Source organism: Homo sapiens, chromosome 10, assembly GCF_000001405.40.
Source record: "Homo sapiens chromosome 10, GRCh38.p14 Primary Assembly".
Classification (NCBI taxonomy): Eukaryota; Metazoa; Chordata; class Mammalia; order Primates; family Hominidae; genus Homo; species Homo sapiens.
Window position 1 is genome coordinate 79013063 of NC_000010.11, and position 15464 is coordinate 79028526.

A 15464-nucleotide genomic window follows, 5' to 3' on the forward strand; every position below is an offset into this window, starting at 1 on the left:
GTATACAAGATTTGTCTCCCCAGAAATATAGAAGGGCTTCTCTAACCAAATTTCACATGTGCCTTCCTTTGGTAGTCCTGGGCAGATCCCATCACTACATGCTGAGAAGTCATCACTAGCTCCAAGAAGCCTCCTGGCCTCCCTATGCTCTTTCAGCATCTTATATATGCTTCCCGCCAGCCCGAATCTCCCAGTATCATAACTAATCAGTTACTGAACCGTGACTGCCATGGAGCAGGGCCCATGTCTTCTACTTGCTCCTAAAACAAAACCCACATTTGGTATTTCCGTCACTGTTAACAAAATAGCTTTGCATTTTCTTATTTAATTCTCACAGCAACATGTGAGGAAGGTGCCATCATTAGCCTCACATCACACATGTCACAATTGAAACTCAGGGAGGGAGCTGTCTTGCCCAGGGTCACGGGGTGGTGAGGACCAGAGCGGGGACTCAGAGCCAGGTCTGGCTGCCTCGGAGGTCAGTGCCCTCGGGCACACACATTATGATTTCTCACCTCTCCAGCTCCAACACTGAGCACGAGGCTGAACAAGGAGCAGGCACTTGATAAATATTTGTGGAACTGCACAAAACCTTAACCAATTCTCATTGCATGACTGAAGCTCTGATACCGAAGAGAAACCAAACCACCTCAGTGATTTCCAATTCAAACAGCACCACCCGCTCCGTGAATTCTGATGCACTGATGTCTTTTGTTTTTGGAGGGGTTTTGTTGCTTTCAGCAAGGAGAGTCGAGAGTCAGCAGCGAGGAAGTACACAGAGTTCCCCTAGGAAATTGTTTCTGCACGGCATTTCAGATGAGAGATGGAAAAACATTTCAGAACACAAAGACTTTGGTTATCACAACAGCAGTAAGAGAAAGGCAGGCAAGGACTCAGGCCCCCATTTAACAGATGACAAAAACGCAGGCCCCCAGAGTCAAGGGACATGTGCGAGGTCACTCAGAGAGAAAAGGATTGATACCACCTGTCTTGATGCCCAAACTGGGGGAGAGGGTCTTGCAAGTCCCCTGCTACCACCACCTCCAAAGGCACTGGCTCTGAACACCGTGGCCTGTAGGAAGGAAGGAGGGCACAGCTCTAGGAAAAACATGTGGCAGCCTCACTGGAGCACAGAGCTCAGCTCTGAATCCTGGCAGACCAAAAAGAAGCCTCTCCAAGGCTCCCCAAGCCTTACTGCCTCCACCCCACAGTCACCTCTTCTGACTTTCCCTTTCCCAATTTCTACATCCAAGAGGCAGATAATCAGAGCATGTGGGCTGAATCTCCTTCTCAAACCATGCTTTACAGAGGAAAGGGAGGAAGCCCATATCCCTTCTAGGCAACTGGTGACTCTGGCTGGGCTGGGGCTTCTCAAAAGACTGTGGCCCTCAGAGGACCCACCTTGCTAGGAGGTGACTGGAAACCCCCCCACCCAATCTTTGCTGGAGAGTCCAGCCCCTAGCTCTGGGATGGAAAGTGGTGATAGAAGGGGCCCAGCATCAGATTGAAAGGAAAAAGCCCTCTTGTCCTTTGACTTCTTGTGTGACCTTGGGCGGAACACATCTCTCTGAACCTCTGTTTCACCATTTGTCAAATGGGACTCCTATTACTCACTGTCCCTGGATCTTGGGGTAAATGTCTATCTCCAGAGATAAAATGATGAAGCTGAGCATCGTATCTGCTTTAGTACTAACTCTCAGCTCCTGTTTCTGACTCAGGCTGTCCCAGGCCCGTCCTCAAGGCCTGGAGGTCAGCTACCCTGGCCTGAGCCAGCAAAAGACCAGTGGGCCAGCCTGGATGGCCAAGTGTGGTTGCCCATAGCAACTGGAATCAGCCCACATTCAAGGGACAAGGTCAAGTCTTAGCTGAGAAGGGAGCTAAGCCAGTTTCTCAAGGGCAGCATTGAGCATCCACACAGAAGGGAGAGAAGGCAGGAGGTCAGGAAGCACAGAGGCAAGGCTGGACAAGATGCCAGCAGCAGGGTGGTGAGTCCAGCAGCTCAGGAGGAAGCCTGGGAACCAGACCCATTCAAGTCAGGGGATAACAACCCAGTGCACAGCCTGGCAGCACACAGCCTGCAGCATGTGGACCAGGCTGCCGGGGGTCTGTATGGCCACAACCTAGACAGGGGAAGACCCCTGTGTCCCAAAGGAGACCTAGTACCAGCACTCTTTAGCTTATAGGCTGAATCCTGGGTCAGCCCAGGAATAGCGTGCTCTGAAGTACTTTGCATAACTTTCCTTGTTCCCCCCAAAAGTGACTTAAAGCATATGTAAATCTATAAATAGGAGATATATAAAGATATGTAAAGTACCACAATAAAACCTAAATTAGAAATGGATAGGAGTATAAGAAGCAAAATAGAGAAAGGGCCAGAGATCTGGCTAAATCAAAAATGAATACCATAAAGCTGTAAATGTTGTTTCAAAGGGTCAAAGTTTTAGACTTCAACTCCCTGGAAGCAAGTGCAAAAGAGGAAATCTGATCAATCACACAATGTCCATGATATAAAATTAGTAAATCAACCCATAAAGCCTGATGCTGGGAAAGTCATAGCTGTTTCTTGTCTGCTTTACAACATTTTTCCAACAGTCCTCATTATAAAATTCTAAGAGACACAAAGACAGGTCTCATGGAGATGTTTTGGGGGAGCAATATTAATACCATACCAACAGACATTTTCGTAAAAGTAGTCCTATAAGGACCAAAATAACATGCTATTGAAGTCATCTTCTCCTGGCCTGGCTTAAGTCACAGTCAGATGAGGCTGGAATAGTTTCAGTAAGGAGCATTATTGCTCTAGTTAGTTGTTTCTTTATCAAAAGTTAATTTGGTCAACCTGTGTTTGCTGAGCACCAGCACCGTATGGGGTTTTGGAGAAGCAGACGCAAGCAACACAGATATGGGCCCTGCCCTGCTGGAGCTTAAGGTCTTAGAGGGGGAAGCTGTAAGTAAACAGGCAGTTACAGACTGCAACACAACCAGGATCCTCTCTGCACTCTCTGAAGACCAAGGAAGAGCCTGATATCGCACAACAGGGAAGGCTGCCTGGAGGAAGTAAGGTCTCAGATCAGCCTGAAGGGCCAGTGAAGTCGGCCAGGAAAGATCCAGCAGAAGGAGAAGCAGCAGTGGCTGGACCACCAGAAGTCAGGAAGCCGAAGAGCCCATTGCCGCCTAGAGCTGCCTCTAGGACCACAGCTGGGCAGAAGCCCAGAGGACAGGCCTGGTTGGGTGGGCCCATCACCTGGCCACACTGTCAGGCAAAACTGAGAGTGTGGCCAAGCTGGATGCAAATACCCCAGCACCTCAGCTCCTGGAAGAGAGGTTGGTGGCCCTTCTCTCTTCTCAGGGGTTGGCCCTGCTGCCCCAAACTCAGGGATGTGGGACCCTCTTGGATTGTTCACAGCCACGGCAGGCTCAGCTTGGAGAGGAGCAGCAGGCAGTCCTGTGGGCAAGCCACCCTGGGATATAAAAGATATGAAAACTGACCTGATTCTCTTAGAGCTGAAAGGCCCTGAGACAGAAGCCAACCCAACTTCCGCATCCTAAAGATGGAGAAACTGAGACCCTGACAAGGAAATGGACTTATCCAAAGTCACGTGGGCTAAGATTCCAGAAGTCCAGAGGCAGGAGAGACCAGAAGGAAGGAGGAGACTGGGCAAGTCAGCCAGGAGTCCCAGCAGAGAATGTGGAGAAAAATCCCAGAAGAGGCTCAACAACAGCAGAAATAGCCCCAAGCTCAGGGTCCATATCTGAGACCTTGGCCATGGGGCCATGTCCCCTGGAGCTGCAGTGGGGATGATGCTGACCTGCCCCGCAGGATTACTGGGAGGACTAGGGAATACTTACTATAAAGTCCTGTGCACATGGAGATGGTACCAGGGTCCAGAAAGAAGGTGACTTTGGGGCAATAGTAATGGGCTACACTGATCACAGCACTGACTGTGTGCTGGGCACTTCTTAACAATAACCCTCAGAGTAGGTATTTTTCATCCCCATCTTACAGACAAGGAAATTGAGTTCAGTAACTTGCCCAAGAGCTCACAGCTCTGAAGAGGTGGCGGGGCTAATCTTTTTCTTTTGCTTTTGTTTTGTTTTGTTTTGTTTTTTGTTTTTTGAGATGGAGTTTTGTTCTTGTTGCCCAGGCTGGAGTACAATGGCACCATCTCGGCTCACTGCAACCTCTGCCTCCCGGGTTCAAGCGATTCTCCTGCCTCGGCCACCCAAGTACCTGGGATTATAGGCATGCACCACCACACCGGGCTAATTTTTTATTTTTAGTAGAGATGGGGTCTTAAGCTCCCGACCTCAGGTGATCTGCCCACCTTGGCCTCCCAAAGTGCTGGGATTACAGGCGTGAGCCACTGCGCCCGCCCAATTTTTTTCTATTTTTTGTAGAGATAGGGTCTTGTTGTGTTGCCCAGGCTGGTCTCAAACTCCTGGGCTCAAGGATCCTCCCGCCTCAGTCTCCCAAAGTACCGGGATTACAGGCATGAGCCACCACACCAAGCCAATATTCTTAGTCATATACAAGAGGGCCTGAGGCAGATCCAGATGTAGGGTGCTCATCTCTGAGAAGGCAGTGGGTGGAGGAAGTTCAGTACTCTAACCCCCAGGAGATGCAGGGCCCCCCAGTTTCATGCCCTTCCCTTTGCACAATGCTTTGCACTTAGAGTTGAGCCCAGCCAGCTTCCTAGGAGTATGGGGAGATGTTGTGAGTGGGACCCCCGAGATGACTGCATGGCACTTCATAGCTGGCATAGCTGTCCTGGTTATCTATGGCTGCATAACAAATCAACTATATACCTAATGGCACAAAATAATTTTATTATGTGCCCAGATTCTGTGGGTCAGCAGTTCAGACAGAGCACAGCAGGAGAGATTTGTCTCTATTCCATGATTTCTGGGATTTCAGGAAAAACTAAAATAGCTGGGGATGTTAGATGGCTAAGCTCAGCTGGGACTGTTGACTGGAGCACCTAGACATGGCCCCTCCATGTGGCTTGGGCTTCCTCACAACATGGCAGCTTCAGGACAGTGAATCTTCCTACTTCTTTACATGGTGGCTCAGGGCTCCAAGAGTGAGTGTTCCAGCAAACAAAGTATAATTTGCAGGGGCATGGTCTTTACTCACTTAGGGTCTCTTCTGCCATACCCTATGCAAAGTGCTGGAATTACAGGCATGAGCCACCGTGCCTGGCCTGTGGCCATGTTTTAACACCACCACAATTGCCATGGGTTGCCAGGCAGCCTGGCAGAGGAACACTGCAAGGACCCGTCCCTTCATGGCAGATTCAGAAAGGCTGAAAGGCGTTATGGTCAGTCAGGGAAGACCCAGGAGCCACTCAGGCCCACACAGACCTCTCTGTGTGCCACTGGCCTCTTGCACCCCTCCTTTGACTGTGACGTTCTCCCCTGGAGGGATCAAGAGGTCAAACCAGGCACTCAGAAAGGCAAGGGCCATAGTAGGGTGACCTTGAGTGAGCCACATGATGTCTGGGAGCTTTGCATTCCTTGCCTGCATCATGGCAGATGTTTCCTCTCTCCCACGGTTCTGGGGAAGAACAGAGGAGAGAATGTATATGAAACCCATTCACCCAGTAGGTTCCTGGCCAAAGCAGGTTTCCTTCCAAGGGGAATGGGGTGGGGCGGGGGTGCCACAGGCAGGGAGAAGATCTGAGGGCCTGACTCACTGGGTTCTCTCCCAGGGACTTAACCAGGGTGGCGTGTCTGCACTTGAAGCTGCAGCAGGCACCTCTCAGGCCTGTGGCTCCCAGCTCTAATTACAGATTTCTGGACATGTTTCCTGTTTGGGAGCTGGCAGTGTCCCCGCAGAGGATCCACAGATAATGAGCAGCTGGCTTCAGAGGCTCCATCCATGGGGCACTGACCTGGGAGCAGGCCCAAGCAGGCCCGCCTCAGACAGCAGAAGGCCCTCAAAGGTCATCTGGTCTCAATTCTTCCCCACATCACACTCACACAGGACCAACACCGTGATCACCATGACCAGTCTCTGCTTGCACGGTTCCAGTGATGGGCAGCTCACCACTTCACAGCCAGTCTGCTAATCTCTAGACATCACTCAAGACAGCACTGGAAGCACTTCCCAAATCAGTTTGTCCTTTAACTTCTAGCTATTGATCCCCAGGTCCACCAAGAACAATGAAACATGGAACAGAAGAAGGGCGCAGACCCTGGGATCAAGAAGAACTGGCTTTGGTTCCAATCTTAGTTTTTACGCTTGCAGTCTTGGTCTCTTTGATCCTCAATATTCTTCTCTGTAAAATAAGAATAATGCTATCCAGTATGAAGGGCAGCTGGAAGAGTGGAAGGTCATAACACGTGTGAACACACCTGGCACACAATAGACACCAAGTGCATGCAATTCCTTCCCCTTTCCCTCTTGGACACCTGCATTAGGTAGCTTTTTTAGGATTATAGATCAGAGACACACACTCAGATTCAAGCAAGTGACCGGCCTGAAGACCACAGGTACACTTGGAGGATAAAGGGGACAGAGGCCACCTCTTCTGCCACACAGTGGTGTCTCACGGCAAGCTGGAGGAGCCCAGGGTCCCGAGCCTTCCCCTTTCAACTCCCGAGTGCAGCTGAATGTCTGTTGAATGAAAAGAGGGTGGATGGCTGGCTGGATGGTTGGATGGGTTGATGGATGGATGAATGGACAATGGAACCATTTAAATAGGTTTCTAAAACCTGCCAGGAAACACCCACCCCTTTTAATTCTAGCCAAACTGAATGTCATCTTTTTGTCGAGAAATAGAGTAAAGCAGTGATGTTTAAACTTTTCTAAGCATCAGAAGAGGACTTGTGAAACAGATTCCTGGGTCCTACCTCCAGAGATGTTAATGTTCTAGGGTGGGGCCTGAGATGTTGCACTTCTAACCAGCTCCCAGCTGTGGCTGAAGCTGTTGCTCCACAGGCCACACTTTGAGTGTTGTGGAAGAAAGCAGACAGTCAACTTACAACACCCTTTGGAAAACAAGCACAGGAGCAAGATGAGGTCACTGGCCTGGGAGAGTTCAGCAGGAGGGAGTGCCCCTCCCAGCCCAGGGGTGGAAAGTGTGTTATGACACCAGCCCCTGCCTCCCACCACTTCAAATCTTCTGCTTTCCGTCTCCAGCCTGGGATCTCTCAGAAGCCCCTGTGACACCACAATGGCTTCATGGCAGATAGGGCTCTGGTCCAGAAGATAACACCTCCCCACAGGAGTTCAGGCTGGATGGAAATCTCAATAAACAGGGCGGGATGTGCAGAGGGTAAGGCAGGCCATCCACTCACTACAGGCCTTCCAGCAAGGGCTAGAAGGCCTAGAAAGAAGAGTGTAATCTTCTGGCTTCCCAGACACACACACTTGCACGCGCACACACACACGCACATGGAGGAGGGCCCAAACCTCTCCCCTAGACACCCAGAAGGTCTTCATTGCTTGGGACCCATCCAGCCATGGTTCCCATGGCTGATGGTAGTAGGGCCTCACTTCAATATTCAGGTCAGGCACTAACTTGCTGCATGGCCTTAAACATGTCCTTTCTGTTTTCTGGGTCTTATCTTCCCATCTGTAAAACAAGGTAGATGGATTAGGTCTTGCCTAGAGAAGGAACTGACATTACCTGAGCCACTGATATGTTTATTTATTAACTTTTCTCTCCAAAATATTTGATTGAGCAATTCCTATGAACCAGGACCTGATCTATAGCACTGCACAGGAGAGATGAAACAAAGCTCATGCCTCGTGGAGCTGGCCCCATGCTTTGCACGAAATGCCTGATTCCTATGATCTCATTTAGCCTTTACTACAGTCACCCACAGGAGTTGGGTGCCATCATCCTTGCTTTACAGATAAGAAAACTGAGGCATCGGCAGGGTGCGGTGGCTCACGCCTATAATCCCAGCACTTTGGGAGGCCGAGGTGGGCAGATCACTTGAGGTCAGGAGTTCAAGACCAGCCTGGCCAACATAGTGAAACCCCATCTTTACTAAAAATACAAAAATTATCCAGGCATGGTGGGGCATGCCTGTAATCCCAGCTACTCGGAGGGCCAAGGCGGGAGAATCACTTGAACCTGGGAGGTGGAGGTTACAGTGAGTTGAGATTGCACTACTGCACTCCAGCCTGGGCAACAGAGAAAGACTCTGTCTCAAAAACAAACAAACAAGCAAAAAACTGAGGCACAGATAAGAGGCAGGGCTGGAGTTTACACTGTCAGTGGTTCCACAGACCATCACGTAACCCTGAGACCTCCACTCTTGACCAAGCCCATGTCCTCTAGTTCTCTGTTTGGGTGAAGGTCATCCCCTCCTCAGCACCCTTCCATCAGCCTCCAAAGTCCACACCCCACAAGGAAGCGGAAAGACTGGAGGCTGCAGGGAAGGTGGTTCACACTCCCCGCCCAGATTTGGAGGTTCCAGGCTGGGCTGAGGCTTCTACTTCCTCCCCGCTGAGAGGGCAGCTCCGGGCCAGGCTGCTCCCTTGGCACGGGGTGCCCTGAATCACAGGTGCTCTAGGGGTGCTGCCAGGTTCTTTTCAGGGCCCCCATCCCCACCCACCCTACTCATCATTCACCCTTAGTGCCCATACATGACCTGAGAGGCAGAGGGAGCCCATCCCTTGGGTGCTAATGCAGCATGGCATCAAAAAAATGAGATCGGTCCAGCATCTGTGCATTTACCCACAAGATTGCAATCCAGAACCTAGAAAGAGGCTATTTTAACTTCAACTTGCAAGGAAGCTTAGCGTCACTATGGAAAATAAACTTGATGTTGAGCTACGCAGGGTGGGACTGGACACCACCATGATCCTGTCAGTACTTGGGGCGTCAAGGTCTCAGCCAGCCTTGGCTCGATGCCTCACTTTCCCACTTTGAAGATGTGCCCAATCATTTTCTACTGCCTGGAAAACTTCTCCTTTCCCTTCTGCCTCCCCTAAATGCTCATTTTTCATGGCTTCATTTACCTACTGCGTCCCCCAGGAAGTTGTTCTTAGCCCCGGCTGCCCCCAGTCCAGCTCAAAGTTCCACCACTGGACGGCTGAGCTCTGGGAACCCGGTGCCCTGCCTAGGCTAGGCTGTTTGCTGGGTTCCTCTGGCCTTCCTCAGGGTAAGGAAGATCACCGCACACCCAAGAGGCCCTGCAGGGCTTCAGGCACCACCTGAGTCACTGCTTTTCTTCGAGAGCCTGCAAAGCTAGAAGGCAGTATTTGCCTTTTACGCTGTCTGATGCAAGCATACTGTGGCATTTTTCTAGAGGATTCAAGACCACGCGGCTCTCAAGAAGTCGAATGCAGAAAGAAGCACACAGGAGAACCCAGTTGCCTCCTCTGAAGTGAATCACCAGAGAGATTCACAAAAACCTAAAGGAATGTCACTCTTCTGCTCAACTTTCTTTGTTTTAGGAAAATAGTTATTTTTTATGAAAAATATACGTTCATGTGTAGTGTTTATTCTTGTTGTTCTTAAAGAATTAAAAAATATTTTGTAATTTCTCAGTTTTAATTTTTAATGTGGTAAATATCCAGAGATATTTAACAATATTTTGCCTAAACCAAAGCTCTTTCGGGTCGTCAACAACTTTTCAGAATGTGACAGGGTCCTGAGGCCAGGCTTGAGGACGGCTGGAGGAAGTGTCCCGCCCACCACAGCTGATTGGATGAAGGGCGGGACCTGACTAGTGGGCAACCAATCCAGAGGCAAACGGTGGTGTGGGAATCGGCAGGGATTGAGGGGAGCAACAGGGCTATGCACGGTGAACTGGGCAGGCAGCCGAGGGAGAGGGCCTGTAAGGAGGCCTGGAGGGAAGCCAGGGAGGAGTTAGGGCCGCAGAGCAGCCACGTCTATAAGGAGCAGGGGCTGAGGTCCAGGCCAGATACACAGGAAGAAATGAATGCAGGAGACGGCGTGCAACAGGAAGAAGCAGAGAAGCAGCGGAGACGGAGGTACCTGGGGATGATGCCAGGACTGCAGCTTCAGGGACTTGTGGCAGATGCACAGGGTGCCTCTGGCTCCCTGGAGCTCCACACTGCAGTCCCAGCTCTGTCTGCAACCCACTGCTTTGATTCACCCAGGTTCCCACAATGATGCTCGTTTCACTCAACCCTCCCGTACTTGAGGTCAGCTGAACACCTCTTTTCTTCCCAACCAAAATAGCCTTGAGTTCTGTCCTGGCTCTGGGATCCAGCGGTCCCTCGCAGTCAACGTGGAGATGCTGAGTGCAGCTCATCACGAGGACTGACATCATCACATATGTAAGGGCCTGGCGTGTGCCGGGCCCTCAACAGGTGTGGCTAATATTAGCATGCTTGCTCCTCCCTCGACTGCTACTGTCATTATTAGCGGTGGTATTAATATCACAGCAGGAAATGGTCTCCAAGGTCACAGAGCTTAAGCTCTCAGTTTTACTGAGGGATGAACAGCAAGGCCAGGAGCAGGTCAGAAGCAGAACTGGAACCAGAGCCCACTCTCCTGTCCTGTCCAACCGGTCCCAGTGAGAGTGTAAGCTCCCTGGGGGGAGGGGCCATCCAGCAACCCCACATCCACACAACCGTCCACTCCTCTTCTCAGAAGTCATTTCTTTCAACACATCCCATGGGCTCTGTGCCAAGTGCTGTCTCCACAACAGGGTTTGGTCCAGAATTGGTTCAATCAATGTTTGTAGATCGATCCTTGGCCTCTCCCATCTGGCTAGACACAGGGAATCCAGGCCAGGGGTGGGGGTTGGAAAGGGTTCCAGGAGTCTTCCCCATGAACACCAGTCACCAAAACGTCTGTTACTCCCAGCAGCTCTCTTGTACCCACCACCTGTCCTGAGTTCTTCAGTGGAGAGCAGGGCCTGAATCTTCATCCCTTTAGCCAGAGAGGAAACAAGGCCCAGAGAGGTATAGTGCCTGTCTCAGGACACACAGCCAGCAGTAGGAGAGCCAGGGATGGAAATACAGGTCTGTCAATGCAAGTTCCTGATTCCAGAGTGAGCTGAGATATGTCAAGTATGCCTGACAGTAGGTAGCTGAGAGCAGGGTCTCAAGGGTAGACAGAGGGGGGGGGGGTCAGAGAGGGGCATTCGTGGGGTATGGACATCACAGAATCCAAGCCCCTGAAATAGCCACCTCTTCTACTGTCTGATAACTGAGCAGCTCCAGCTTCAAACACTTCACACTCAAACAGTGGGGCATCCATGCCAGAAAAAGCCTGGCTGGCCTGCAAAGGAAGAAAGATGGGGCCACTGGCCTTGCAGAGCCTCCCGTCCCAGACAGGGTAGAGTGTGGAGAAGAGGTGGCAGCCGCGCTCAGAGCTCCAAGAGAGCCCCCTGGGCAGGAGCTAGGTGGGCAAGCAGAAAGGTGGGGAGGCCCTGCCTATAGAAGCAGCAGCCTGAGTGAGCGCTGGGAGCCTGCAGAAGAAGAGGTTGGAGCCCAGCAGTCTGGGCAAGGATGAGGCCAGGTCTGGTGTGGGGACCCTTTATACCCTCTCTTCCCACCCTGTACTTCTCAGTCCCAGCTGGAAGCATGATGTATCTCCCCAGCTAGATGCGAGGCTCCCTGAAGGCAGGCCTGGGGGGCTCACTGCTGAATTCAGAGCCTGGCCCAGAACAAGTGCTCAGTAACTATGCGGAGTGAGTGACAACAGATACAGGCTAGGAGGGCCTGGGATAACTCTGAAAACAGAGCTTCTGTGCAACAGCAGGCTTAGCCCTTGTTTCCTGATAGATTTTGGCTGTTGCCACCAAGTGGGAAAGGGAGTGGTGGGGGAGGGGACCTGGAGAAGGGGAGTGACCTGACAGCAGAGGTGTCAGCAAGGCCCAGGAAGGGGTCAGGGCCCCATCCTGCAGGAGCAGCTCTGCCGGCAGCTGGGTCAGGCTCCCAGGTCCAGAGACGCCCCATGCTCCACTGTAGGGATGAGGCCACAAGGCTGGTCTTTGCCCCCTACTAGAGTCTGAGGCTCCAGCAGCTGATCTGGGCCAGCTCGGCAGAGAGCTGGATCTGGGAATAGGCTTTCCTCACTAGGCTACAGGAAGGAGCGATGCTGCTGAGGCCTGATGTTCATGCAGGGAGAAGGCTGGGGTACCAGTGATGCCCAAGGACAGCTCCTCTTACACCCATCCCTGGTCCAGCTCCCTCGTTGTCCTTAGCAAGTGGGGGACCAACTGAAGTCTCTGAAGTCTGCAAGGTGGGGCCGTCAGCTGAGGCCCACAATGACGTCTGTACTCCCCCAGTCACAAACAGGCATGCACACACCCACAGGCACACACTGACACACACATGCCCAGCGTGGGCTCTGTGCAGGCGGGGTCCTGCTGCAGGAAGGGCTGGTGCGGCTGCCAGGCAGCAGGCCCAGCACAAAGGCACAGGGTTGGGGGGGCGGTGTTGGCGGCACAGGAGTGGGGGAGGGCTGCGAGGGATGTGGCTCAGAGCCTAACAGGCCACCAGCAGCCGTGGCATCTGCTTTTTCTCACCTCTAAAGGGAATCGATTTGTCTCTGACTGATTTCCCTGACGTCTAGTTTTCTTCTCCGCCCGGCTGTCAGCCCAGCCACTGCACACAGGGAAGTGCGGGGGGAGCACCTTGACCGCCTGCCTGCCAGCCTCTCTGCCGCCTCACCACACCACCCCCTCACACACACAACACACGCTGCACTCACACTCACACGCCCGACAGAGAAACCCACACCCCACACCCGCACCACAGCCTCCCGTCCAGACACCCACACTCCCACCTGACAGACAAACCTGCCATACACCGTACAGACATATGTAGACAGATGCATATGCAAGCATGCACACACACACAGTACAAACACAGAGACAGACCTGCCACACGCGATACAGACACATAGTTTTACTGTGTGTAACATAGGTATACAGACACTCTCACACACGCACCACAGTACAAACACACACACACACAAACACACACTCCCACTCCACAGACAGACCTGCCACACACCACACAGTATAAACACATACACAGACACATGCAGACACATCACACACAGAAAGATGGACACACACACACATAGACCCACACACAAAGCCTCCACACTGACATCCCCAAGTACCCCAGAGTCACCACCATAACCCAGACACACACACACACACACACACACACACACTACATTACCACTCTCAGATACCAAAAGGGACACTGGCACACACAAGCCTCACACTCTCAGATGGCCCCAACACTCACGCACCCCACACATTCACACAGCCACACAGGCTGCATCCCTGCTCACACAGCTACACACACCACACACACACTCATACTCCCTGATCCCCACCAACACCCCCCTCGACACGAGCACCCACAGTCATGCACACCCACACAGTCCCAGGCCACATGGGCACTCCTCGCTGTCCCCGCCCACCCCAGCAACCCCTACTTCATCGTGGAGCTGCTCCTGGCCCCCCGAGAGTAGTAACGGCCCCCTTGGTGGAGGCAGACATAGGTGTGACCCAAAGAGGTGGGCAGGGCCTGGCTGGGGGGCACGGGGGACCCCAGGGTGCTGCTCATCTGGACAGGCTCGTTGCAGGGCAGCCTGGGTGAGGAGCTGGACCCTGGCAGGGCTGCAGTGATTTGGGGCAGGGGTGGGGGTGCCAAATGCTCAAGATTACCAGGATCAAACCAAGCTTTTCCAGCACAAGGGCAGGGCTTCCCGGCGCCCCAAAGGACCTGGGCAGTCAACAATAATGATGGCGGTGAGCAGAACAAGGATAATACAAACTGATCCTCTCTGTGTCCACAAAGCATGTTCCCATCTGTGACAGCTCTAGATTGGATCCCGGAAACATCCACTAGAGTTGGCATTATTCCCACCTCACAGATGAGGAAACCTAGATCTGAATCTGGAAAGGGACTTATCCAGGGTGCGCCGTGGGCAGTGAATTTAGACCTGGAATCCAGGTGCACCAATTCCCTGGCCAGAACTCCAACCAACCAACCAACCAACCAACCAACCAACCAACCAACCAGAACTCCAGATAATGGTCCATCTGTCCTCAGAATCCTCCTAAGGCCATCCACACTGGCACCACCTGCCTAGGGAACACTAAGGAAGCCCTCAGCATGAGCCCTGGCAAGGGGCAAGTACATGTGTACGTGTACATGCAAGGTGTGTGAAGGTGTGCATGACTGTGAATGCATGGGGCAGGTGTGGGCAGCAGGCCCCACAGGTGGGTGTTGGGAGACAGCGTGTCTATGTAGGTCACGTGCGACTGTGTAGGTGGGAGAGCTGTGTGGGTAGAGGTGTGCCGCCAAGGGGATCCAGATGCGGCTATGGGTTTGTGTGCATGTGAGGGTGCCTGTAGGAGAGACCGTGTGAGGGTGTATGTATCCATGGGAGAGGTGACGTATGTGCCCTGAGATGAACACACCAGCATGTGTGAGCATGGCAGTGCACACCCATCACAAGTGTGCTGACCATGGGGCATGCTCCAGATTAGGGGGCGGATCCCCCCACGCACCTGTCTGTCTCTTGGTCGCCTCCCCTCCCCTGGGGTTTATCTGGCCCAACAGCCTTACTCGCAGCCCAGGCAGCAGATAATTGATTAATAGAACTGGTGCTTGGCTCTTCAAGGTCTGGCTGGAGATAAGCAGAGACTCGAGTACCAGCGAGAGGGGGGTGCTGAGGATTTGGGGCTACCCTCGGAGCCCACAAACCACAGACACCCCCGTCCCCAGCCTTCACCCACCTCCCCCTCGTGCCTGTGGTCCACACACCCACCACGGTAGCACATGCAGGGCAGGAGCCCACAGTAAGCCACAGAGTGCAAAGCTGGGCAGGCCCCACCTCCCACCCTGCCTGCCTCAGAAGCTGAGCTGAGCAATGAATGGCTGCTGAGCAAATAACCTCCCAGCTGGGAGTCCACTCACTCACCACTTCCTTCACACATCCATTCTTTCCAGCACCTGACCTAGCACCTACCAGGTAGGGGGTGCAGGTGGCACCAGGAGCTCCAGAGGCCAGGCAGACACAATCCTACCTTGGGGCCATCACAGCCCTTGTGGCCTCTGAGGACCCTCCCAGGCCAGCAAGACACATGAGGAAACAATAACGTCAACCCCAAGGCCCAGTCACATAAGGAGAAGCCACGAGCTCAGACCTGCAGTTCTTTCCACCAGGTCCCTGGCAGGGGTCAGAGAGGAGGGGTATTTGAGAATGAACATGCACGGCATGTCCAGGAGCACCAGATAGGAAGGCTGCCCCCACCCCACTGATTTCCTGTTATGTGCCAGACACTGTGCGGCAGAGCTGTGTAGGGGGCTTGTCCTGCTACCTGCCAGCAGCCCTATGAGGTGAGCACTGCTACTCTCCAAGCTAAGGGCCTGAGAGAAATGAGGGTAGACAGATAAGGTTCCAGAAAGACCCTTCCCTTAAAAGAAAAAGGCCATGACTGTCAGCAGAGAATGCTCAGCTTCTTCCAGGGCTCTTTCCAAGCTAGAAGGAAACCCCCAGGGC

At 52.6% G+C, this 15464-nt stretch overlaps 2 long non-coding RNA genes across 6 annotated transcripts in view, besides 3 other annotated features; both read right to left on the reverse strand.

Annotated features, from left to right (window-relative positions):
- The window catches only part of ZMIZ1-AS1 (ZMIZ1 antisense RNA 1), a 124123-nt gene that overhangs the window by 69737 nt on the left and 38922 nt on the right, over positions 1-15464 (reverse strand). The window lies entirely within an intron of this gene.
- LOC112268062 (uncharacterized) lies at positions 4808-7895 on the reverse strand. 3 transcript variants are annotated; one of them, XR_002957086.2, is made up of 3 exons: positions 7499-7895; positions 6853-6990; positions 4808-6278 (listed from the first exon to the last, which is right to left on the reverse strand). It is a non-coding gene; the product is annotated as an uncharacterized LOC112268062 (long non-coding RNA). The 3 variants fall into 3 exon arrangements; XR_007062213.1 differs by lacking the exon at positions 6853-6990; XR_007062214.1 differs by having other exon boundaries at positions 6853-7895.
- Positions 10129-10629: a transcriptional cis regulatory region, noted in NCBI's record as "chr10:80782948-80783448 region (GRCh37/hg19 assembly coordinates) targeted for CRISPR interference". NCBI's record gives its function as "negatively regulates PPIF gene expression in GM12878 lymphoblastoid cells {active_cell/tissue: GM12878}" and the evidence as "EXISTENCE:mutant phenotype evidence [ECO:0000015][PMID:33828297]".
- Positions 10129-10668: a biological region, named in NCBI's record as "CRISPRi-FlowFISH-validated PPIF regulatory element GRCh37_chr10:80782948-80783448". NCBI's record gives its function as "regulatory_interactions: PPIF".
- Positions 10319-10668: an enhancer, noted in NCBI's record as "active region_3621". NCBI's record gives its function as "activates an Ori minimal core promoter by ATAC-STARR-seq in GM12878 lymphoblastoid cells {active_cell/tissue: GM12878}" and the evidence as "EXISTENCE:reporter gene assay evidence [ECO:0000049][PMID:35858748]".